Below are 25,898 nucleotides of genomic sequence, written 5' to 3' on the forward strand. Positions count from 1 at the left end.
TAAACATAATCTTGATCTTTGTAAAAATGCTAAGTCACAATAGCAGAAAACATGAACGACAGTTAACAAGTGTTGCTTATATCAGTCGTTTCTCTAAACTTGTTCACAAAAGGGTCTAATGATTAATCTAAATTGTTCATTTTTGTAAGACAGGTGGAAAAACAAGTTTGAATGTCCTCTTTTTACACGTGGGGTGAAATTATAATGCTTTATGATATAGGGAGAAATGACAATTTTAAGAAGCCTAACTAAACAAGTAATTGAGAGACTAACAAATCACTCGTTCCAACCATAAAATAACCAGAAAGAATCAGATTATTAAGGCTTTCTGCAGCATTGTCTCTGGAACAGGTGAAATGGGAGAGGAGGAATGAGGAAGGGTGTTGAGGAGTAGTAGGGGAGTGAGCCAGGCTGTTGGAATTCAAGAATGGGAGAATGAAGTAATGAGGGAAAAGGGGAAAATTAGGGACATTATCCTCATTACACCTTCAATGATAATAGGGATAACCTGAGTGGGAAACCCTACTTCCCACTCCACCTCCTGCATTACTCAGAGAATGCCCCGGGGTTCCTTCCTGGGAACCACTGTGTCCTACCACAACCATCCCCAATTGTTAAAAGACTCCCTCTGAATTTAAATGGCAGAGAGAGAAATCCTTTTCTATCTCCCATTGTGTGATTTGCCCTAACCACACTCCCTCTCTGTCCATTATTTTGCTCATAGATATTTCCATAGCTCACAGATCACTGGCAGCACTTATTTAAGGTGGAACCTATTTATGGCTAAAAATGCTAGGGAGAGTCCTTACCCACAGAGATGAATGTCACTTTTATGTTTGCACTGCCTCTGGCTCCATAGGCACTGATGAACTCACAAGTGTAGATGACTGTTGTTCCAGACGACCCGCTTGGGCACTGGGTTCCATCAGCCTTGAGGGTGTATCTGCTGCAGCTAGAATCTATGTCTGTCTCAGGGGTTCCTATAATGAGAAGCAAATTGTTGCCATCCCAGCTGGCTAACTCTTTTATTTAGTAGCAAAGAGGTCAAATCATTTTTTTTTCATAAAAGGAGTTACTATTTAAATAGATTTCTTCTCTGAATGGAGAAGTTGGGTTTATGGTGATTAGGTCTGCAGACTCTGTATCCAGGTTGCCTGGCTTCGGATCCCAAACTCCATCACTTACTAGCAAGATATTGTTGAGACAGTCACTTAACCACCTTGTGCTTCAGTTCTCCAGATGTAAAATGAGGATTAATAATTGCAGTTACTTCCCAGGACCACCGTAATGTTAAATGAGATAATATACATAAACTCTTAGAAAAGTACCTGACTGGGGCCTTCCCCAACAAAGACCATGAGCGATGGTTTTTTGAATGTGAACAATAAAAAAAGAGAAGCAAGCTGTTTGGGTATGATTTAACTGGAAGAACAGATGTCAGATTATTTAGATTATTATGATTATTAAAAAGGGGAAGAAGCAATACTGGGGCACCTGATATTCATCTTATTTGAGCATTTTTCACAGCATGTTCCCTGTTTAAATCTCTATGTTTTAGTGAAAACTTCAACTTCATGCATTCTCAGTTACCAGCAGCTTCCCCTTCAAAATAGCTCCCTTTCCATACCTTTCTTTCCTTTCCCAGAAATACCATGCCCTCCATGCCATCTTTCCTATTGCCTCGGGTTCTACAACACCCTGTGGCTGATTTTTCCTACTCTAGTCCCTTTACTCTCCCTCCTTCCACCTTGCCTGCTGCCATGCACTCCTAAGGGAATCTTCAAACACTATCAATCTTCCGAAAATGAAGGAAAAAGAATAAGCCTTTTGATTAGTTCCAACGTAAATGTGTCTTTTTCAGCCGTGGCTGATCAATGATATTTGACATATTTCAATCAACATGTAACTAGCTTTTCTCCCTAGACCCCAGAAAGGTTGTTTGAAACACGAAACTGATTTCCCTCTTTATCTATCTTGACTAAATTACCTCCTAGCTCACAGACATGAGTGTCTGTGCCCATCTCTAAGGCTCACCCCGCCACTTATCTTTTGAAAATCCACTTCTTCTAATTCTTCCAGGACATCCCTTCATCCTTTGCCCTTCCTCACCCTGTGTCTTTAATCTTTCCTCCCAGATTTCCTCCCCTTCAACCCCCAGATACACTCAAGTCTCCCTTCCTGAAATGGTCTTTCCCCAGTCTGAATGCTCCCTAGCCACCACTGCATTTCTTCCTCTCTTCATACCACCATGCTTCTGTGTTTGCCACTTCCAATTTTTCACTCCCGTTTCTCATCAAGTCTTTGCGATTGGCCTTCTTCACCCTCTCCTCTACCGAAAGTGTTCCTTTAAGGCCAACAGTGACCTCCCCTTTCCCGTATCCAGTGGCCTCCCCTCATGCTACTTTGACTGCAGCATCCCATTCTCCTGACCACCTTCTCTCTGATTTGGCATGCTTGAGTCCTAGATGTCTCCCGCCCCTCTTTTCTCCTCATCCCTCCTTCTGGGTCTCCCTTTCAGGCTCTTTTCCTTCATCCTCTTCTCAAAGATTGCCCCTTTCCTCATCTTTTTCTCTATTCTCTCTGCAGGCAATCTCATCTATACCTATGGCTTCTAGTATAGCTCAAATTTGGATGACTCCCACTCTATTTCTAAGAGCAACACTCTCGTTGGAAACTTTAGAAGCAAATTCCCAAGTGTTGCTCTGACATCTTCGGTACCTTCAACTCAATTGGTCCATTTAAGAACTCATCTTTTTTCTCCCCAGATAAAACCTGTACATCTTCCAATGTGTCCTTTCTTTGCACTTGGCATTTCCCCAAACAAAAAATCCTAAATTACTTGCATGCACTCACCTTTTACCCCTACTCAGTTGTAAGAAACTTTTAGATTACTCTTCTGAAATATCTCACTATTGTCTTATCCACTCCTACCCATGGTAACTTGCTCAGACCCCATTATCTGTGGTCTGCCCATTACACATGATTGTAGCTGAGTCTCTATTTTCAGTTATTTGCCCCTGCAATCTATTGGCTATCAGACCTTAAAACTTATTTTTCCTAAGTTCAGCTCTCACCATCTGATGTCCCTCTTTTTACCTTTAAAACCTTACCATTGCCTACAGAATACAGTAAAATCCCTCTTAGCCTGGTATATTCAATTATTCACAGTGTGATTCCAATCTGCTTCTCTTCTCTTTATCTTCTATAGCTCTCTCTGAAAAATTAGATCATCTCCTGGGGCTTGAACATGCCCTGTAGCTTTGCACCTCCATGCCTCTGTTCACACCTGAAATATTCTCATTCCCTCTTCCTCCTGCTGATTCTTACTGATCCTTAAAGACCCATTTATCTCACCAAACTAATGTACAAGACAATGATCTATGCAAGAAGGAGTGTATAAACAGATGTACAGAAATAATGATAGTGTGCAGTGGGTAGGTTCCATAAGAAAGAAGTCAATATGTTATGTAGATTAAAGGAGGGATGTTTAGTTGAGAGATTAGGGAAGATTTCAGAGAAGGGGAAGATTTGCTCTAGGCCTTAACAGACATTCAGGATTTTAATAGATAGAAATGGCGGCTGTAGTTCTGGTATGTGGTTGTATGTGGGTTGTGTGTGAGTAAATCCATACTCCTTGGAAAACTTGGCATTCCATCAAGCTGCTTCAGGGGCTGGGGCTGTGTTGAGGGGGGTGGAAGGATAATAAACTGTGTGGGCTCCAATCCCTTCACCCTTTTTCTAACCACAGCAGCTCCACTTTGGTCTGCTTTACACATTAGATGTGCTCTCAATGAGGGGCAATTTTGCCTCCCTGGAGGACATTTGGCAAGGTTTGGAGACATTTTTGGTTGTTGTAACTGGAGATGTTACTGGCATCTTGTAGGTACAGGCTGGGGATGCTGCTACATATCCTACAATGCACAGAACAGTTCCACCCAGCAAAGAATTATCTGACCCAAAATGTCAATAGTGCTGAGTTGAGAAGACTTGCATTAGACAGCCATGCAAGATTCTGCTTGAAAAATGGATTCTACTGTTAACCCAGAAAACCACTGCTATAAGCAAAAACACAGAAGCAGCAGCATGCAGGTCTTGTTCAGAGAACAATAACTACTTTTGTTAGGCTGAGATTCAGAGAAAGAGTGGAGAAAAGGCTCCAAAGAGGTGGTAAACTCAGAAAACACAAGCAGGACTTCCAAATTGGCATCATTCACATCGTGTTTCCTACAACACCCCTGGGACTGTGCAACCAGGAGCCCTGCATGGGAGGTACTGAATGCAGCTAATAAGTTGGTACTTTGCTTTCTGGAGAAGAGAAGGTATGCAATTACAATTTTGTTGTTCAAAATTAGATGACATCCCAGACCTTCCTCTATAAAATGGTGGTGATGGTACCTGCTTTGCAAGACTTTGTGTGGGGAGTGGAGAAAAACCAAGATGATAAATGTAAACATTGAAAACAGAGTTGAGGCCAGGTGTAGTGGCTCATGCCTGTAATCCCAGCACTTTGGGAGGCCAAGGTGGGTGGAGGTCAGGGGTTCGAGACCAGCCTGACCAACATGGTGAAACCCCATCTCTACTAAAAATAGAAAAATTAGCAGGGTGTGGTGGCAGGCACCTATAATCCCAGCTACTCGGGAGGCTGAGGCAGGAGAATCCCTTGAACCCCAGGAGCGGAGGTTGCAGTGAGTCGAGATTGCGCCACTGCACTCCAGCCTGGGTGACAAAAGCAAGACTCTATCTCAAAAAACAAACAAACAAACAAAAAACAAAATGAAACAAAAAAACCAGAGTTGAATACATTGAATCTACCACAATAACTATTTTGTGATTGCGTTGATACCCTTAAAGAATACTCCTTCACTTTTTTCCCATGTGGGAGGAAATCTTCATTGAATTTTAGTTTCTTAAAGTTAGAAATTCTGCCATTGTTGATTATTTCCTTTCCGTCTCATCCTTTTCCAGAGTGCTTTGAATATGCGACCATTTATGAGAGCAGGTCATTCATTCAGTTCCAAATGCTTTGGGTAAATTCTTTTGCTTGATTGTGTTCTACAGACTTGGAAAAATGGTTGTTAGTAGAACTTGTGGAATTTGGAGAAGAGAGCTGCAGAGAGGAAGCAGCAAGGGCAGGAGAAAGAAGGGCAGGGTGCCAAGGCAGAGGCTAAATCCATCAGAGAAACCACGGTGCAGGTCCCCAGGCTGCCAGCCCTGAGGCAGGAAATCCATTGTTCTGCAGTCATTCATCCCGCTCTAAGCATCTGCGCCACAGACTTCCTGATTCCTTTGCCAGAAGGCCAGGTTTTTCACCTTTCGGGGTTGAAAGCTTCTAAGCCAGTACCACAGGAATTGTGCAAGGCCTTTCTTCCATCTGGCAGTTCCTTCAGGATACCTACACCTCCTCTTCCTTAGAAATCAGGGAAGTGACTCCATGTATCATGTGTCAACATTTTCAGCTGTTACCACATGCCTTTCTTCTGAGTACTTATGTCTAATACAAATGCTTGCAGGTGAACTGTCCTTTGGAAATTACATGTGCTTAGGAAAATTTGCCTGTAAATTGATAGTTTTTGTTGTTGTTGTTGTTTGAGACAGAGTCTCACTCTGTCACCCAGGCTGTAGTGCAGTGGCATGATCTCTGCTCACTGCAACCTCGGCCTCTCGGGTTCAAGTGATTCTCCTGCCTCAGCCTCCCAAGTAGCTGGAACTACAGGTGCACACCACCACACCTAGCTAATTTTTTGTATTTTTAGTAGAGATGGGGTTTCACCGTGTTGGCCAGGCTCGTCTCCAATGCTCAACCTCAGATGATCCACCTGCCTCGGCCTCTGAAAGTGCTGGGATTACAGGCGTGAGCCACCGCCCCTGTTCTGATAATTTTTTAAAAATAATTTAATCAATTTCCATAGCTAAGGCTTTGTAAAATGAAGGTTCACCACACTAATGTATTTCATGGGTAAAGCCACATTTTACTTTAAAGACTTTTTCTTTACAGATAAGCGCATTATACTGTTGTTTCTTAAGAGAAGAGTTGGATCTTGCTCTATGCAGTTTCTAGGTAAAACACTGTTCAAACTCTGCCTGACTAGCTCATTCCAGTGCTGGCCCACCAGGCATGCATAATATAGTTTGGCCAAGACAGACACTGGTTTTGTGAAACAAGACCTTTGGTGAGTCCTAATTTATTTCCTCTCTTTCTTTCTTTCTTTCTTTCTTTCTTTCTTTCTTTCTTTCTTTCTTTCTTTCTTTCTTTCTTTCTCTCTCTCTCTCTCTTTCCTTCCTTCCTTCCTTCTTTCTTTCTTTCTTTCTTTCTTTCTTTCTTTCTTTCTTTCTTTCTTTCTTTCTTTCTTTCTTCTTTCTTTTTTTTCATATTTGACAACCTTGGATAAGTCATATAATCTGAACCTCAATTTCCTTATTTGCAAATTGGAAGTAAAATGCTTCAAATTTGTGGTCAAGCAATTTAAAAGCAGTAACATATTTTTTAAAGGGTTAATCATAAACTGTTATACAAAACAGAGTCAGTATTGCTGTTTTAATTTATTACCATTATTATTATTCATCAATATAAACTGGAGGGTGGGGAACTTTAGGTAAGATTTCAGATTGAAAACAAAAGCTAACAGGATCAGAAATCATATGAAATGACTGAGAGACAAACAGGTCTGCAGAGAGAGAGGGATAAAGCTGGAGGCACAGAGATAGAAAATATTGAGGTATGCATAGATACAAAGGCAGAGAAGTGAGAAGGACCAGACACCAGGAGAAGAGACACAGAAAGGAGAAGCTCCAAGTCAGACCTCAATGACAAATGACCTCATCCTTAGCTCTTTGCTGAAGATGAAAGGAAGGTGAGCACAAGCTTTTCTTGTCTTTTTTTAGATCCAAAATGCCATCGACCTAAGTCATCGGGATCCTAATTTCTTGGGTCTTCTGCTGCTGGGATCTCATCTACAACCAAAGCACGACACTTGTGTGCATATATTTTTGGGGTCTTGTTCTAGAGTGGCTAAGCTGGAGCTGGCATCAAACCTAATGCCTTTTCACAGTCTGAAATCCAGAAAATAACAGCCATCTGACATTTCCCCTTCCATACGCCACATCTCCCATTTCTACTTGGCCAAGAGGCAAAAACCTATTTGCAAAAGGGCTTATCTAACATTCTCACCTGGAATATTTATTTTTCCTTCCTGCTTCCATTCTACTTTGCTCCAATTAACATTACCCTGACTGCAGCAGTTCAAAGATACAGGATTGTTGTCGCACATCACCTTCATTTCTTCATTTGCCAAAATTTGGATGGGCATAACATCTATTTTCTTCTTGCACTCATATTCAAAAATGTCTAATATCAGTTTGCAAACATATTCACCTGCATAAAATACACAAAATCATGTATTATTATAACACATGTGTATTTTCTTAGAGGAATGTACCGTCAGCTCATGGATCATGACAGTACTTCATGAAGTATCATTTTCAAAAGCATCTGAGACTTGGTCTAAAGACGCCTAAAAAACCATTCAGGAATTCAGGAAGTGCAGATATTTCTCATGCCACAAAGTGGAGTACAGAGATGTTCTAAGGAAATAGTAGAAATTTTAGGGACTTTTCTAATAAGAAAAAAAGTATAACAATAGAAGAAGTAGAAAAGAAAAATCGAAAAGCCTTGGAGAATTAGAAAAAGATGGGTAATATTGCCGTAGTATTTAACCATGTTGTAAATCAAAATCAACAACTATGTGATAGGACCCATATGTCTATAGCCCACCTCATCATGCAGAGAAAAGAAGATGGCCCCATTGGCATCTGAGTTACAATGCGGCTATTACATTCCAGAATATGTCAGGTTCACCACTAGTCTTAGGGAAGAATTAAGCCTTATGCTTGCTTCTGTAGTTGCTTGGAGCGGGCAAGAGGACAGGAGAAAGCCGAAGAGAGGGATAACAGTGGAGAACCAGAAAATTTGGTGAGGGCAGGGAGAACGATGGATACGTTCACTCTCTTGATTGTAGTAATGATTTCACAGGTGCACGTGTGTCAAGACTTTTTAAATATGTACAGTTTATTATATATCAATTCCTTCCTCAACAAAGCTATTTTAAATTTTTTTAAAAATCAATTGAAAATTAAATTAATAATAAAGTAATATTATATACTAAAACAAAATAATGAAAATAATTATATTATATACTATAATAAAACAAATAATGAAAATAATGAATTTTAAAATTAATTAACAATTAATACCACGGTGATATGATTTGGCTCTGTGTCCCCTCCCAAATCTCATGTCGAATTATAATCTGCACATGTTCAGGCAGGGCCCTGGTGGTAGGTGATTTTCTCATGGGGGCAGTTTCCCCCATGCTGTTCTCATGATAGGGAGTGAGTTCTCATGAGATCTGATGGTTTAAAACCAGATGTTTGACAATTCCCCAGACCCTCTCTCCCTCTCCTGCTGCCATGCAAGACATGCCTTGCTTCCCCTTTGCCTTCTGCCATGATTGTAAGTTTCCTGAGGCCTCCCCAACCATGCAGAACTGTGAGTCAATTAAACCTTTTTTCTTCATAAATTACCCAATCTCAGGTAGTTCTTTACAGCAGTGTAAAAATGGACTAATACATATCGGATTAATTTTCAGTTTTGAAAGGTTGAACCAGGAGACTTATTTTGGAAGAGAAAAACACTATCTACATAGCTACGTAAAACACTATTACATATTTGCTTCTTTATAAGCTCTTCATTCCATTCCTCACACAAGTTACTGAATGGAGACCTACCTGCATCACCTGGAGTGATGTTGTGGATGGTGAGCTTGGACACCGAAGTCATGTTGTTGAAAAGTGCGGTGTAAATCGAGAATCTGCTGCTGTTCTGGATTTCCAACTGCTGTTCTTCATAGCGCCAAGACACATTGGAGGACAAAACTTCCTTTTCACACACCAGACTGACTGTGTCCCCTTCAAAGATGATTTCTGGTGTGACAAAGAAATTGCTTTCATCTGGAAACCCAAAGAAAAGTTAATAAGATCCCAAAGCAAATAAATGTCACTGATGCTACTCACCACACACAACCACCACAAGGCTCTTGGAGATCTTGACAGCATCTGTGGTGCTGAACTGGCTGAGGCAATGTGTCTCCTCACTCCATTCCCATGCAGCTGGTGTCTGAGCCCTGAGGAGGTATGTCCTGCCACATGCCAGGGACAGGGTTTCCCGACTGGGGTGTTTGCCCTATGGCTCCTTAACGGCAGTAATGGAGATTTTAAAGCTATTTTCAATATTTCAAAAAGTGTGGTAGAAAATTGCACATTTTTTTATAAAAAAAAAACAAACTTAAATACCAAGTTTCTGTGCTACACACTGGAATAATATCAACTGCTTCTTATCAGTAACCAATATCTCAAGCTTATTGAAAGCTCTGACCTAAGTCTTGAAGGATTTAGAAATGTAAAAACAAATTAATTAATTATAATAAAGTCTGCTTGAGAAATAAGAATTTCCTAATACTCATGGACCTCTTTAAGAGTGGGAGCTTTATAGACAGTAAGTTTGGATTTGAATCCTGGTTCTGTCCCACCCATAGCTGTGTGGCCCTGAGGAACTTGCTTAGTCTGGCCGAGCCTTAGTTCCACTGTCTGGAAAACAGGAGCAGCAAGAGAGAGTTACATTGGGAGGTGACTTGGAGAAACTGTAGCTCTTATTATTGTTTTGGCAGTAAAAATCCATGGGATCACTGCCTTATCATTTCACAAATAAAAATAAAAACACAGCCAGGCATGGTGGCTCATGCCTGTAATCCCAACACTTTGGGAGGCTAAGGTGGGAGGTTTGCTTGGGGCCAGGAGTATGAGACCAGCCTGGGCAACATAGTGAGGTCCCATCTCTACAAAAAATAATAAAAAAAAAAATGTTAGCTGAGTATGGAGGTGTGCACCTGTGGCCCCAGCTACCCTAGAGGCTGAAGCAGGAGGATCGCTTGAGCAAGGAAAGTAGAGGCTGTAGAGAGCCATGATTACACTATTGCACTCCAGCCGGGATGACAGAGGGCTGCACTCTGAGGCCTACTGCTCTAAAACAATGGCCCTCTATTTCTTATTGGTGCATTTTGTGAATATTTAAACCTCCACTGTGATATTAGTTTTACTTTTTTTACTTAGTTTTGGATCTGTTATACACAAACCCAGATGGCTCTGTGGCCCCCTTGTAAATCCCTGTGCCCCTTTTCCACACACCCCAGGTACAGTGGCATTAGTCAGATTGGGAGGCACTGGCATAAGAGGAGGAGGTGGTACAGAACCCCCTGTGCCAGGAACTGGAGTGTCTAGCTTCCCAGAGGACATTGTAGCATAAACTAATTTCCTAGGTTTACGCATAACCATAAATAACATGACCATATCTAAACAATTTCACTTACTGATAGTAACTGCTTGAAAGGAGTTGTAGTCCATTTTGTAGGTCTGATTGAGGCTCTGTACAACTTGTTCATTGGCTTTATGTATTAACTCAAGTGATGGTGGTGTAGTCTTGACTTCATATGTCACAACCACACTTCCAGACCTGGACAGAGACCACTCAGTTCAGTAAAACAATAACTGACCTGGAAGAGTCTAGATATTTATGGCTTATTTGCTTAGGAAACAAAATAGCACAAACTGCCTGATGCAGCATGCAAATCTATGGATCTGACTGGCCAGCAGGATCTTCTGGAAGAAAGACATCATTGCATGGCATTATTTCATTTTTATATTTCTGAACTATTTGGACTACAAACTTATCCCTTATCTTTGCTTGCAAAATTTTTTGCACATATATAGAATGAACACAAGTCTTTTTCTCTCTTTCTTTTAAACAGGTACATCTGTAAGGGGTGAGGTACTTTTTTCACCTCTACCAAACTGCTCCTGCTGAGGATTCCACATGAATAATGCCTCTCTAGGGGGTTTACCTCCTTCACTACCATATGGATCCCAGCCATAAATTAGAAATGATCAAATTAAAGTATTCTTACTTGAACCCTGTCACAGTCACGCCCTTGAAGCCTGGTAAAATTCCGTAACCCTTCCGGAACTGAAAAATAAAGCAAGATGAATGTCATATATCAAAGTCGAGAAATAGGTGTATCAAAAGATCTGAAGCAGAGTAAAAACCACATATTCCTAATCACACTAGGTAAAATTATCTTCTGTCTATTTTGTTAACTGTGGGCATTAGATTTCTGAAGAAGTAATTCCTATCTATGTCAGCCTGGGTCCTCCGAGAAGTAGACTAGATGAAATGTGCAAAAAATTTACTCAGGGAAATGTCTAGGAAAGAAAACGTGGAGGGAGCAGGGAAGACAGAGAGAGCCATCAGACTCCCAAATGAAAGAGAGGGAAGGAAGGTTGGCTAAAATCATCCTAGCCTGAGCTTGGAAATGTTCAATAAAGCCTTCCAAGGAGTCCCAGTGTCTGCCAGACACAGATGTGTTGTGCCCCTTCATTGGTAGGGAGCAGCGGTGATGGTCGTGGATTTCAGAAGCAGCAGCTGCAGCCCTTGCTCCATTACATGACCTGTAGTTGGAGGTTTGTGAGGGGCACCCTCATGGCTGCCATACTGCAGGATTGGTTGGTGTGCCAGGTACCTAGGTGGTTGCTATGTAACTCTCTCTTTCAAAGCATATAATTTAGTGTAGTGTGTGTGTGAGGAGGGTTCTCCTGCTGTGCAGACATATTACATGCCAGAAATGTAAATCAAACATCCAAGAGCTCTTCTGAAGCGGCACTTCATCAAGGCACTCATGGGAGATGACAATATTTGGGTTACATGCTGAGATGAGCAGGAGGGTGCTGACAGCCTAAGGCAGGGCTCAGCTGACAGCCTAAGACAGGGCTCGGCTGCCAGGAGAAGGGAAGTCATTATCTCAGCCCACCTGTAATAATCTGTGCCACATCCATTGGGAAGCTCTGTTCCAAATATGTTAACTCTAGCAAAGTGTTTAGGTTTAGATGGATCAATTCAATGTGAAGCACTCAAGACAGGGCTGACAAACAGTTAACACTGTTGGAATACTCTCTATTTTTATGTGAATCAATTTATATCTGTCTTAGGTATGAATGCCTAGCAACCTCTGGTGTAGAGTGGTTTGAGACCCTCTGTGCTCAGCCACGGGTTGGTCTGCCCAAAAGTTGTTAGGGGTTTCATTCATGTGATATATGAATAATAGAAATGCACCAACTCATGCTTGTAGGCTATAGGTTCTTGGGGCTTTGAATACGTTTTAGTGAATTGATGCCACGAAATCTTAACTGAACCAGTTCCACCCTGAGAAAAATTTATGCTTATAGGTCAAGGTGAGTCACACTGTCCCCTAAACATGATTTGATTTGAGCACATATTAATTCACCATCTCAGATGTAAAAGAATAATAAATCCACATCCGTAAATTCTGACAGATCCAAGCCATGTTCATTGTGAATGCAATAGACTCAGTTCAGTCCAAACAGTTTGTTAGTTAAGAGGTTCTTGGGGCCAAAACCTACCGCTGTTTCCAAGTCGGTCTTGTAGGACCTATAGAGGGCGGAGGAAGTGTTCATGAGGTCTTCTTGAAAGCCTACATTTAGTCTGACTCTCATGTTCAGGGTAACATCTGTTGAAAAACACAGGGCAATATTTAAAAATATGTTAATGTCTGAGTATATACAAACCAGAAACATTTGTAAGCTGTTTTTGTTTGTTTGTTTCAGATGGAGTCTCCCTCTGTCTCCCAGGCTGGAGTGCAACGGCACGATCTCAGCTCACTGCAACCTCTGCTTCCCAGGTTCAAGTGATGCTCCTGCCTCACCCTCCCGAGTAGCTGGGACTACAGGCATGTGCCACCACATCCAGCTAATTTTTGCATTTTTAGTAGAGGCAGGGTTTCACCATGTTGGCCAGGCTGCTGTCAAAGTCCTGACCACAGGTGATCCATCCACATCGGACTATCAAAGTGCTGGGATTACAGGCATGAGCCACCATGCCCAGTCGTAAACTGATGTTGAATAGCCACTCAACGAGCATTTAATGAGCAGTTACTTACCTTCCTGAAGCAGGCAAAAAGGTCCATTGGGAGGCAGTTCTTTAAGGCAACTGCAATGGTGCCCTGGGAGGAAGACGTCACGCTCTTGACAAATGAGATTGTGAAGACACCTTTCCCGAGGCCACCCATAACCTGTCTCGCAGGAGCACCAGATTTCATTTCCAGCAGGTCTGCAGACTATCGTTAATCAGAACAGCAAGGAGAGAGAAGGTGGAGAAGGTGGTCACCATATTTGTATTTATAGCCTGCAGGTATTCATTCTTGAAGAACATCCGAATCTGACTTTATATTACCTTTCTGAGAAGTTCAATAGCACTGCATAAAATTGATATTTGCATGTATGCATCACCATGCTATTAGCCATGACAATCTGAAAGATGACTGCTGTGACGGTTGAGTGATGAATGGCTAAGTCATCTTTTAGATAGTCATGCCTAATAGCTAATAGCCACCAGATGTCTATGATGATAAGTATAAGGTAGCTAGCCTCCAAGATGACCTTTGCCCATCCCTACCACTAGGTATTCAAACCCTTTTGTACTACCTTCTTATATTGTACTAGGATTGGTCTATGTAATCAACAGAATAAGGTAGAGGTGATGGTATGGCACTTCTGAGATTATGTTATTAAAAACACTATAGTTCCTCTTGGTTGCTCTCTCTCTTTCTCTTTCTCCCCTCACTCTGGGGGAAGTTGACTGCCATGGCATGAAGACACATCATGGAGAGGTCCACATGGCAAGGAACTGAGGTCTACAGCCAATAGCTAGTGAGGAACTGGAGGCTGCCAACAACCACATGAGTTAGCTTAGAAATAAATTTTACAGGCCAGGCACAGTGGCTCACTCCTATAATCCCAGCACTTGGGAGGCCAAGGCAGTTGGATCACTTGAGCCCAGGAGTTTGAGACCAGCCTGGGCAACATTGCAAAACCCTATCCTACAAACAATACAAAAACATTAGCTGGGCATGGTGGTGTGTCCCAGCTACTCAGGAGGCTGAGGTGGGAGGATTGCTTGAGCCTGGGAGGAAGAGGTTGCAGTGAGTTGAGATTGCAACCACTACACTCCAGCCTGGGCAACAAAGTGAGACCCTGTCTCAAAAAAAAAAAAAAAAAGAAAAAGAAAAAGAAAGAAAGGAAGAAAGAAAAAACAGAATTTTTTTTCATATGCCAGTTGTGCTTTCATATGATGACAGCACTGGTTGATAGATTATTTATAAACTTACAAGAGACCCTGAGCCAGAACCACCCAGCTAAGCTGCTCTAAGATTTCTGACCCTCAAAAACTGAGTCTATCTTCTAATAAGAGAACTAAACTTTTTGTTTTTCCATTACCATAAAAACCCTGCTTAGGACACAAAGACAAAAAGAAAAAAGTTTCCTTTTACATCCCGCACTCGCAGAGAAAAACAAGAGGTCTTGTCTTGATGGAAGCCCCAGTGAGGAAGAATAAGCATTCTCAAATTAAAGTGAGACCCTCTGGCCTGGGGCTGGTTCATCTCTGGGCCTATGTACCACATAAAAAGAAGGGTCAACCTTGGCATTGCAGTGAGTGACTTTCACGGCTTTAGTGCATTTTCATCTCCCAGAGTGAGCAAAAAGGACCAATGCTTCCTTTCTACATGTTAAATGCTGCAGGATGTATGTTAGAGCATACCTCTATTTGTAGACTATTGTAGATATAGTTTATAAGGCAAATAAGTTTATACGTGTATAGAAGTTTATTTTCATATAACTGTTAGTACCAACACTCATCAATACTTCCACCTTCTACATCTTAATTCTTAACAAATATAAATACAATGATTTAAAAAACTCTCAGATAATAACTGTTTGTTATTTTATGATGCTAGGTTTTAGACTCTGTTGTGCACCAATAGATAACAAATGTAGAGTGCAAGTAAATTTGTGTCTTTTACATATCAAGTCAGGTGTGAACAGCCTACATGAACTCTGCTCTCATTGGAGACAGTAAGAAATGTTCTGAAATCAGAGTGCTTTGAATCAATTTCCAAAGCTAGACCAAAGTCACATCTTTGGGAGCTGTTTGTTCTGCAGATGGGTAGCCAGGCAAAGTCCCACAGAGTGACTATCCAAAGGGAAGTTATCAAATAGTTGTTTCTGAAATAGGAGGGACAACACGTTCGAGTTAATTCCTTGGGCACTGATGCAGCCTGTGTCCCAGCAGTGGGTGGCAGTGGGGCAGGAGAATTAGAAATAGAAGAAACTGGAGCTACTAACAAAGAAGCTGAGTGCCCGCTAGAGGTAATTTGAGGATAGCCAACAGGATCCCACTTGTTGAAATCTCTCTTACTGACATGAAATTCCAGTGCTAAAGCAATTTTGTTATTGTCTTCTGTTTTGTAAGGGAGCATTATGGGAGGAGTAGTTGAAGAACTTTTGAGTCCCACATAAAATGCAAACATGCCTTAGGAGAATGGAAAAAGTTACCACTTCCAGACCACCTGACATATCCCAGGTATTGTTCGGTGCTTTACTCACATTGTCCGGTTTTAAATATCCTCAGTTTTATTTGCCATTACTAAAAAAGGATCATAAGGTAGGCTGTTGGAAGAATGAGGCGAGGGAAGGATGGAAAAAGGAAGATGGTGAAAGTTTGGATGCTTAGACATTAGTGCCATGGTCAGTAGGCCTAACCTTCATTGCCCACCCATCCCATTCACTTCCTCTTTTAGGCCAACTCCTCTTAGCTGTTCCCTGCTGGTCCTGAGGTCCATGAGCCTGAGGCTTTCTCTGCCACATTGAAGTATCCACTTTTGTCAAACCTGTTTCATAGATCACTATCAGAAAAGATTCACCCCCTCTATGTGTGAATGACCAGTCTTTCTGGAAGGATAAATTAAACTTTCCAAGGTCAATTGCATTTTAATTGAGAAGCTTGTTAACCCAAGTTTTTAAGATGGTGAAGCCTCTTGAAGTCATCCCATCTCTAGTAGAAAAAAATCAGAGAGAGTTTGTTAGTATGTTTATATTGAATATATGTAAGATAAACTCACAACTAAAGCTCAAGTGTCTATAATCACAAGTTGTTCAACAAAAAACTATTTTTGATACTTGGTCTGTTTTGTTTACTGGATTCACTTACTAGCACCTACAGAGATACCAAAAGGTTTCTGTTAAAAAATTTGGGAAGCAAAATTGACTAAAATCTATCCAATAATTTATTCTAAAGGCAAAAGATCTGTGCCGGGTGGGAACATAGAAGGGTGTTTCTTATGTATTTTCCAAAGTACCCTAGTTCGGTGAGATGTTCTATGGATAAACAGTGGGAAACACAGCAGAAGTTCACTGCTCCTGAAGGACTCATAATGCACATTGGCATCCAACTGGAAAACCACTAACTCAAGGAAATTAGTGCTAATGGTAGAAATCAGTGGGAAATGGCATCCAAAAGGAGTGATAAGGGAGCTATGACTTCGAGTAACATATATTAAGAATCAAAAATTAAAATGCATGTACCGACATTGGGATGGACTATTTGAAATATGCGAATTCAAGAAGAATTTCAAAAACAGGAATTTTTTCTTGCCTTCATTTTAGAATAATAAAACCCAACATCTATTAGTGCTTTCCAATTTAAAAAACAATTCCCTGTTATCAGATAACTGGAAGCCTTATCTCACAACTTCTACTGTATACCAAGTCTTGGGTGATGGTTTCTGGAGACATAGGGAAGTTAGCATGACCTTGGAAAAGAGTTTGCAACCAGAAAGTCCAATCTATGGCCTAAGAGGTTCTACTTAATGCCTTGCTTCTGATGCAGGCATGTACCTGTTTCCTATTTCCTGACCTATAATGCCAAAGAGAAGGGTATCTGGTACTTACTAATATCTTGAACCAGTCCTTGTTGTGTCCATTGATATACCAAGGGAGGAGGACACAGGGAAGAGGACCCAGTAGTTTATCTGCCCAAGGGAAGAGGACCCAGTAGTTTATTATGAAGGACCTGGCCATATCTTGGGATCACTTTATGACAAGCATCATACAAACCACCAAGCAAACCTTTGGTCACCATTTAAAATAAGAAACCTCTGGCTGCAGAGTTTACTGATAGAGGCTTCATTCAGGAAGGCTGTGAAGTCACAGAATCACACATCCGTCTCGGTGAGTCATTTCACTTGCCTACTAAGTAAAAGATTGCTCTGATACTCAGGAGCTCAGACAGTCTGTCTCAAGACATCCAATCATTTATTCTGAAGCAATGGGTCTCTTACTCACCTGTTGTCACATTTATGCTCAAAATGTCGGTAATTTGGTCAGTGTTATTCCCATGAATTGGAAAACTGAGGCTGTTCAAGTAGGCTTTGATAGGATCCAGGAAGGATGCATTTTCAAAACTGATCTCAATATTAACAGTGTATTCTTCAGCCGTAGGACTTTTTGTGGCAACTGCAATGAAAGCACATGAAGGCTGAGAGAACTTACCATGGGAGATGGAGTAAGATCATGATGGATATTTCAGCAGTTAAAGGTAATGACAGGTACATGTGAATGGTTGGTCTATCAACCCTTAGGAATTTCTAATGAAATCTTTAGAGAAAAAGAAGGTTTATTTACTCACCACCTTGGTGTCCAAGGCCAAGCACTGCTGTGTGAAGTATGGAATGTAACGAGGCAAGAGCGGAAGCAGAGAGAATAGCAGGGAGGGTCTGGGAACTGTTCGGGCAAAATATGTCACAGTCAGGACTCAAAGGAGTGAGTCAGTGTTTCATCTGCAGTATGCATCATTCGATAGATGCACACTCTAAGGGCTGAACCATGCATGGATTGAAGACATCTGGGAAAAGTCACCCAGTTAATTCTCTTTGCCCTTAGCCTATGGAAACAGCATATATTCTTTGCTCTTCCTCTGTATCTCCAGTGTTCAGAACTGGACACTGCTTTTGTTGAGGTGCTCAACAAAAGTTTGGCAAATTGGATAGTAAAATAAAAGAGATTTTCAGCTCTTCATTGTTTTTCCAAATTGTCTCCGGGTGGTTACCTGGCTTGCATTCAAGATGGATCTGTTCCCCAACACACAGCTACATCAGGCAGGCTAATATATATGTATATGTGTGTGTATGTGTATACATATATATATATATATATAAAATATATAGAGAGAGTATATATAGTATATACAGTCTCTATATAGAATTATATATATAGACTACTATATATACTATATAGTATATATAGTACAGTATATATAGTATAGTAATATAGTATATATAGTCTATATACAGTAGTCTATATAGAGTAGTCCATATACAGTCTATGTATAGAGACTACATAGTCTTTGTATAGTATATATACTACATAAAGTATAAAGACTATAGTCTTTATATAGTATATATACTAAAGTCTATATATAGTATGCTATATATAGTCTAAGTTTATATATAGAGAGAGACTATATATAGTCTACTCTATGTTTATATAGACACTATATATATATGTGTGTGTGTGTGTGTATATATATATATATATATATATATAGTCTGGCCTGCCTGAGGTAGGTGTGTGTTGAGGAACAGATCCACCTTGACTATGGTAGTCTATATTGACTACTATATATACATATATAGACTATATTTAGACTGTCTAGTCTAGTCTATATATATAGTCTGTACAAACGTTATATATTATATATAAACACTATATATAATATATTATGTGTGTGTGTATATATATATATATATATACATAGTTTTCTATACCACATCATGTCTGGGCCACAGTTTTAAGCTTCCCAAGAGCAGGAACTGTTTCTTTCATGTTTCTTTCACTTCTCTTAGCCTTACTTACTCCATCTGGCAAAGAGCTCACCACATTATAAATAAATGACGAATCAATTCTTGTTAAACCTGAAACTCTCTGTCACTGACCAGATCTATGACCTAATCTTGGCTAGAATATATAACTGAAGCCATGGCCACAGTTAATACTTAATAAAGAATCTTCAAGGAATAAGAAAGTTTTACACAGATAAATTGAGAATATTTTTCTTTTTTCTGGACAGGACCTCTCTCTGTCGCCCAGGCTGGAGTGTAGTGGCACGACCTTGGCTCACTGTGACCTCCACCTCCTGGGCCCAAGTGATTCTCTGGCTTCAGCCTCCCGAGGAGCTGGGACTACAAGCTCATACCATCACGGCCAGCTAATTTCTGTACTTTTTGTACAGATGGGGTTTCGCCATGTTGCCCAGGCTTGTTTTGAACTCTTGGGCTCAAGCGATCTGCCTGCCTTGGCCTCCCAAAGTGCTGAGATTATAGTCATGAGCTGCTGTGCCCAGTCATTGAAAATATTTTATCTTGTCAGTTAAATAAGGAAAAAAGTAGGGCGGGCGCCATGGCTTACGCCTGTAATCCCAGCACTTTGGGAGGCCGAGGCGGGCAGATCACTTGAGGTCAGGAGTTCGAGACCAGCCTGGCCAACATGGGAAACCCCGTCTCTACTAAAAGTACAAAAATTAGCTGGGCATGGTGGCGTGTGCCTGTAATCCCAGCTACTCAGGAGGCTGAGGCAGAAGAATCGCTTGAACCCAGGAGGCAGAGGTTGCAGTGAGCTGATATCGTGCCACTGCACTCCAGCCTGGGCGGCGAGAGACACTCTATCTCAAAAAAAAGAAAAAAATAAGGAAAAAATTAGTGAATACTTATAAAATGATTACTTTAAAATTTACATTCTATCTGAAAAGATGAAGTTTATTGTACCATAAAGTTAAAATTCTATGTTAAAAGGGCAAAAAATTTTCCCATAATATTTCAAGATTTAAATATTCCAAGGACTCTTGGTGTGAAATACTAAAATAGAGTAAGTTTATCCTGGGAAACTCTAATTGTTGAATGTTTATTTCAGAAAGCTGTAACATTTGTTCATTTAGCTTGGAAAACTGTTTGTCTTAGGTCTTTGGATTTACCCATCAACCTTGTTGAGAATTATTTCATCCTGGCATCATTCAGCTTCTGCAATTAACTCAGCCTATAAAAAAGGTCTGTCGCATATTTTCCTAAAATTAAGAGTGAATATTAAGGTATACTTCTTCTTTATAAAAATGTATTTGACAAATAGAATAAAGTGACTTTTATAAGAATGCGGAAACTCAGCCTGTGATGATAGTATGGCATTGCCTAAAATTTCCTGTTGACTTTCTGATTCTCCAATGGTTCTGTGATGAAAACAAGCTTCCTGGAAGAATGGTTAATCTTATTTTATGTGATTCTAACTATGGACACATTATGTGGTCCACTGGGAATATTTACGAGGAGAAAGGCTGCATAATATTTACAAGTTCTGCCTTAGCGCACATTCTTTTTCCTGAAAAGTAATGCAGCAACGTTTATATCCTCCAGAGGGTTCACTACCTCCAGGATCCTCTTTGCCATGCCAGTCTACTATCCTCCCATAAATATAAACAGGATTTCCTGGATGGTAGCTGCCTTTTGGATGGGTGAGGTCAGTAACAAATTCATATCATATCCACTTCATTACTGGCTTTGTTGAATCCCAGGACCTGATCCCACAAAATATCAATGCCTGCCTGAGGGTCATGTCTGCCCCTGTGCTCTTTTCAGTCACAACTGAAGAACAAGTGTGTGCCTAGAAAGCACATGGTGATTCACGGATGTTATCACTCCCCATTGAAACCAAGGCAGTTCTGCTCAGATTTTACAAGGAGCCAAGCCAAAGCATCAAGAACTAAGAGGAAAGGCTCTTGTGACCTTAGCAAGTTTCAGTCTATAGCATTCCTGCAGCTGTTAATGTGAGCACCCAGCCTCTAAGGACCTCTTTCCTTTACCTTTTATGTTCTCCAACAGCTTCTAAAAAGAGTTTCAGAATCACCCTCAGCCTGAGCGTCACCTCTGTAGAAACTGATATGGATGGGGAACCTCGAATAGAGAAGGAAATGCCTTCTCCTTGAAAATACTCAATTATTTGAAACAGGCTCAAAAACACCACTGTAATTTAGCAGGCTGTTGGCTTACTCTCGGAAATCATCTACTCCAGTGATCCCCAAACTTAACTGAGGATTACATACACCTAGGGAATACACAAATACACACACACACACACACACACACACACACACACACACACACACACACACACACAGAAAGAGAGAGAGAGATTTTGGAGCTCAGCCCATGTGAACCAAAGTAAATGGGACCACTTTGTAAACTTTAAAGTACTATTAAAAATATGAGTTATTATTGTTAAATGTGTCTTTAGAACTTTGATATACAATTCCTAAAGTAAATTCTAAAATAAAATCAAGTTCAAAGGCAAAATGATTAATAATAAATCAAAGAATTATGTAAGCCTTTGTTTAATTTTATTCAACATAATAAATGTCTTAAAAATTCACATTCAGGGCCAGGCACGGTGGCTCACGCTTGTAATCCCAGCACTTTGGGAGGCTGAGGCGGGTGGATCACAAGGTCAGGAGTTCGAGACCTGCCTGGCCAACACAGTGAAACGCCATCTCTACTAAAAATACAAAAATTAGCTGGGTGTGATGGCAGGCACCTGTAATCCCAGCTACTTGGGAGGCTGAGGCAGGAGAATCACACGAACCCTGGAGGTGGAGGTTGCAGTGAGCCGAGATTGCGCCACTGCACTCCAGCCTGGGAGACAGAGATAGACCCCATCTCAGAAAAAGAAAAGAAAAAGTTCACATTCAGGAAAAATGCATTGTGACCCATTGTCATTGACACTCATGTATTTTGATATTAAGCGTTGCTCCGCTCATCTGTTTGTTCCTTGATTTAATGATTTACCTGTAATTTTACTATTTATTGAATGCCTGTTTTCTAGGCACTGCACTAGGAGCTGGAGACACAGGGTGAATAAAAGGAGCAAAGCCCTGTCTTTGAGGATCTTTCATCATTATACTGGAGGCAAAAGATAAGTTTACATTTTAATTTAATAAAGGAAGGCAAGAGTGATGGGGACAACAGGGATTTTTTTTTTTTTTTTTTTTTTTTTTGTAGAATGGTTACAAAAGACCTTTCTCAAGCAGTAAACTTTGAGCAGAGACTCAGATGAAGTAAGGGATGAACCAGGAAGCTCTCTGGATAATGTCACTCTAGGAATAGTAAACAGGTGTTAAAACCCTGAGATAGCAACCCTCTTGGCTTGCTTGAGGAATAGCAAGAAGATGCCCTCAATCCCCCAGTACGCACTTGAAATTGGGTCATTTCTTCTCCTCTGAAGCCTGGAACAGTATCATGGTCCTATAGGCAAACAGAACATAGAGGCTGTGGCTGAGACTTTTTCCCCTGTAATGCACCGAGGTGACAGGATCAGCACCTAAGGAGCAGCTTAGATGCTCAGCGATCAGCGTGACCCACATAGCGGTGGGGTCAGAGGCTCTCTCACCTCATTCCCTCAGAAGGCCCAGAGTTTAGGCTTAGAAATGCCAAACCCACCTGTCCCGCTCAACCTGAGGACTTCAGAGCCTGTAAAGTAACATTCCTTGTCCTTCTCCAGACTACCAGGGACCAGGAGGCATGAGGACAGTTCCTCAACTTCTGTGTGTGTGTTTTGGATGCACTCTCATCCTCTTCTGCTCCTCAGGATGTCTGAATCCTGATAGTTTAATGTGTTTTCTTTGCCCCTGGCATTGTTTATCTAGATTTTTCTGGCTCGCTGATGCCCTATGTGGAAGGTAGCCAATTCCAGGTGTCATCAGTGTCACAGACAGAGGCCTATCAGCAGGCCCAGGAGGCACAAGACAACCAGGATTTCCCCTCTCCTTTCCCATAAATCACTGCCAGCCACACAGCACTTATCTTACAGGGACATTTCTGGAAAGTTGGCCACAAACTGCAACCAAGATATTTAGGTCTTAATCACAGCTGTTTAAGCAAACAATTCTACTTTTGCCTGGAAACACTAATGGGAACTATGGTTTGTCAGAGCCAGAGCTTAAGTAGATGGGTAAATTAACTTCTTCCCTGCTAACTTCACCCAGGAGAAAAGAGATTGGTTGGTTTGGCTTCCTCTTGACTAAAGAGGCCAATGCAATTTTACCATTGATGGTTTGGCTCTCCTGTTTCTCCCTGTTGGTCTTAGCAAGTAAATATCAAAAGATACCTACCATTTGGCTTGTTTCTTGACATATTCTAGAAGGTGGCAATTTGGCAGCATTGTCTGTCTACTACTGTGTGATTGCTCTGCAGATGCAGTGAAGGGATCTCATTCTCTCTTCAGGTTTCAGAAAGATTTGTTCACAAAGAAGAAAATCATCAGAACCCAAGGCTATGGGCTACCTGGCAGGTGTAGATGGAGGAGAAAGTGGGCAGCACTGTGTCATCAAACACCAGACTGTGAAGTCTAGGGAAGAGAATTCATTCCACTAGATAGCCATATACCCAAATCATCAAAGTTAGCCCCATCTTACCTAGTAAGATGAAGGCAGATATACCAGTCTTCCTTACACTACAAAGCTGTTCCAAGAGCCATGAAATGAGACTTCATGAGCCAACCAGGAACACATGTTGAAAACTATAACTCATAGCTATAAGCATGGACTTTGGAGCCAGAGAGAATGGGGAAGGAATGTCTTCTGACCTGGGCAGGTCATTTAACTCTGTGAGCCATACTTTGCTTATCTGTAAATGAAAGGTAGTATTTTCTCTGCAGGATTATTGTTAAAGAGCTGGAATCCTACATGAAAACCCCTAACAAAGTGTCTGGCATATAGTTGCCAGTAAAATAGTAATTCTGATTATCATAAATATAATGATTATATTTTATGCAGATGTGTGCTGATAGGTCAAGAAATGCTAACATTAAGGGCCTGGTGTGGAGGCTTACGCCTGTAATACCAGCACTTTAGGAAGCCAAGGCGGGCAGATCATGAGGTCAGGAGATGGAGACCATCCTGGCCAACACAGTGAAACCTGTTTCTACTAAAAATACAAAAAATTAGCTGGGTGTGGTGGCATGCACCTGTAATTCCAGCTACTTGGGAGGCTGAGGCAGGAGAATTGCTTGAACCTGGGAGGCGGAGGTTGCAGTGAGCCGAGATCGCACCACTGCACTCCAGCCTGAGTGACACAGTGAGACTCTGTCTCAAAAAAAAAGAAACGCTAACATTATTCCTATCAGGCTTCACCTTTGGTATAGTTAAAAAAACAAACAAAAAAGAAAAACATTAATCAGAAAAATTTTAAAAAAGCAAAACACTCCCAACATTAAATGTCAAGCTTAAAACCAACTCCACACACCAGCCTGAAAGCACCAGGTCTTCTATCTCACTCCACCACCATCACTGCCGGCTCAGAGCACTCAGGGCTACATGTCATCATCAGAAAGGCTGCAATCATGAAAACCCAAAAGTCTGTTCCTCAACCTGGGAAGTGCACGGCATTTCCTAGACCCAGATCTAAAAGGGCCAGCACACCCAGGTTGCTAGGCCTGCAGAAAGGGCAGGATTTCCGTGCTAGCAGCCAGAGACCCAATCTGGGAGGAACCTTACTCTGACTAAATAGATGTGAAAATGTGAGCGCATCCAGTGCAGGGTTTGGACATCCTGAATGCCCCTCTCTTGCTGTTTTGCCTCTCCTCAGTTATTCCTTTAAAGCCGGAGAATAATCAACTGGGGCTCTTCAGCACCAGGCTCCAAGACACGCCCCTTCTGTCAGAAAGCTGGAGTGGAGAACTTGGCCAGTTGATATTTGTGTTACTTCTAACCAATAAGAAACATCCACTTTCATTCCCCCATGAAGAGTCCCCATAAGACTAAATTTGGAGTTTGTCTGCAAACCTCCAAAACAAGCTTCTCCTTCCAACTCTGGTCTCTACCTGTGACCTCCCCAAAGCACCATCTCCTAGGTTTGTGCACTCCTGAAGAGTCACAGGGATTATTGCTGTCCTTCATCCCCAAGTCACATCTGTCCAAGACCTTTTGCTGTGTTTTTCAAAATGTCTTTGGCGAGCATTTCCTCTGCTTCTTTCCTATCTTACTCCATGGCAGAGTCGCATGTCTAGACTGCCGAGCCTCCTGGCTGGTCTCCCAGGCACTAATTTCTTCGTGTAATTTATTTAGCCATAACCATGGGGATACTTTTCACTTAAGTGAGTTCATCAGTCACCTCTCTGTGGCAGCCGCTCAGCTGATCCAGAATCTACTTCCTGATGGAATCGTGACATGACTCGGGATCTTTCCCCCATTCTTATTTCTCTCTGCTCCCTTACAGCCACTCATTGTCCTAACAGGCAGCTCCATGCTTTTTCTCGCCTCTAGGTTTCATGCAGGCTTCTTTTTCCTGAGAGAATTTTGAAAGAGTTTTCCTAAAATGCTAACTCCTATATCACAGCATCTGTGCCCCTGCCTTCAAGTGGTACAGAATACCTTCTCTGGACTGGAGGTAGATCAGGCCCTTTCAAACGCAACACTATTTTATAAATAAATCGATTTTCTTTGTTTAAATTTCTTTAAAAAACTATTAAAAGAAAAATAAACACCAGATAATCCAATTAACATTTTAAAAGTAATATTAACATAACCTTATTTAATCTTCCTAACAACCCTATAAAGTAATATGTGTGAGATATATGTGTGTGTGTGTGTAAATGTGACATACATATGTGATACATATATATGTGATACATATATATATATATGTAATATAATACAGTCAGCCCTCTGTATCTGTGGGGTTCTGCATCCATGGATTCAACCAATCTCAGATGGAAAATATTTTTAAAAATTTTGTCTATACCGAACATGTACAGCCTTTTTTTCATGTCACTATGACTTAAAAAGTACAGTACAACAACTATTTACATAGCATTTACATTGTACTAGGTATTATAAATAATCTAGA

The 25,898-nt window shown here is 41.0% G+C and overlaps 1 protein-coding gene and 1 long non-coding RNA gene across 10 annotated transcripts in view; both read right to left on the reverse strand.

Annotated features, from left to right (window-relative positions):
- The window catches only part of ADGRF5 (adhesion G protein-coupled receptor F5), a 102,418-nt gene that overhangs the window by 18,512 nt on the left and 58,008 nt on the right, over positions 1 to 25,898 (reverse strand). For 7 of the 9 annotated variants that reach the window (NM_015234.5, XM_005248893.4, NM_001098518.2 and 4 more), the window contains exons 4-11: positions 17,302 to 17,472; positions 13,062 to 13,238; positions 12,526 to 12,632; positions 11,016 to 11,074; positions 10,422 to 10,564; positions 8,785 to 9,006; positions 7,169 to 7,372; positions 810 to 980 (exon numbers count right to left, since the gene is read on the reverse strand). In NM_015234.5, coding sequence (NP_056049.4) covers positions 810 to 980; positions 7,169 to 7,372; positions 8,785 to 9,006; positions 10,422 to 10,564; positions 11,016 to 11,074; positions 12,526 to 12,632; positions 13,062 to 13,238; positions 17,302 to 17,472 — 1,254 coding nt within the window. The remainder of the gene's footprint in view (positions 1 to 809; positions 981 to 7,168; positions 7,373 to 8,784; positions 9,007 to 10,421; positions 10,565 to 11,015; positions 11,075 to 12,525; positions 12,633 to 13,061; positions 13,239 to 17,301; positions 17,473 to 25,898) is intronic. The other 2 variants (XM_047418326.1, XM_017010422.3) reach the window with 1 other exon arrangement.
- LOC124901488 (uncharacterized) lies at positions 15,569 to 17,295 on the reverse strand. The gene is made up of 2 exons (XR_007059921.1): positions 16,909 to 17,295; positions 15,569 to 16,012 (listed from the first exon to the last, which is right to left on the reverse strand). It is a non-coding gene; the product is annotated as an uncharacterized LOC124901488 (long non-coding RNA).

This window comes from Homo sapiens, chromosome 6 (assembly GCF_000001405.40).
Source record: "Homo sapiens chromosome 6, GRCh38.p14 Primary Assembly".
Taxonomy (NCBI): domain Eukaryota; kingdom Metazoa; phylum Chordata; class Mammalia; order Primates; family Hominidae; genus Homo; species Homo sapiens.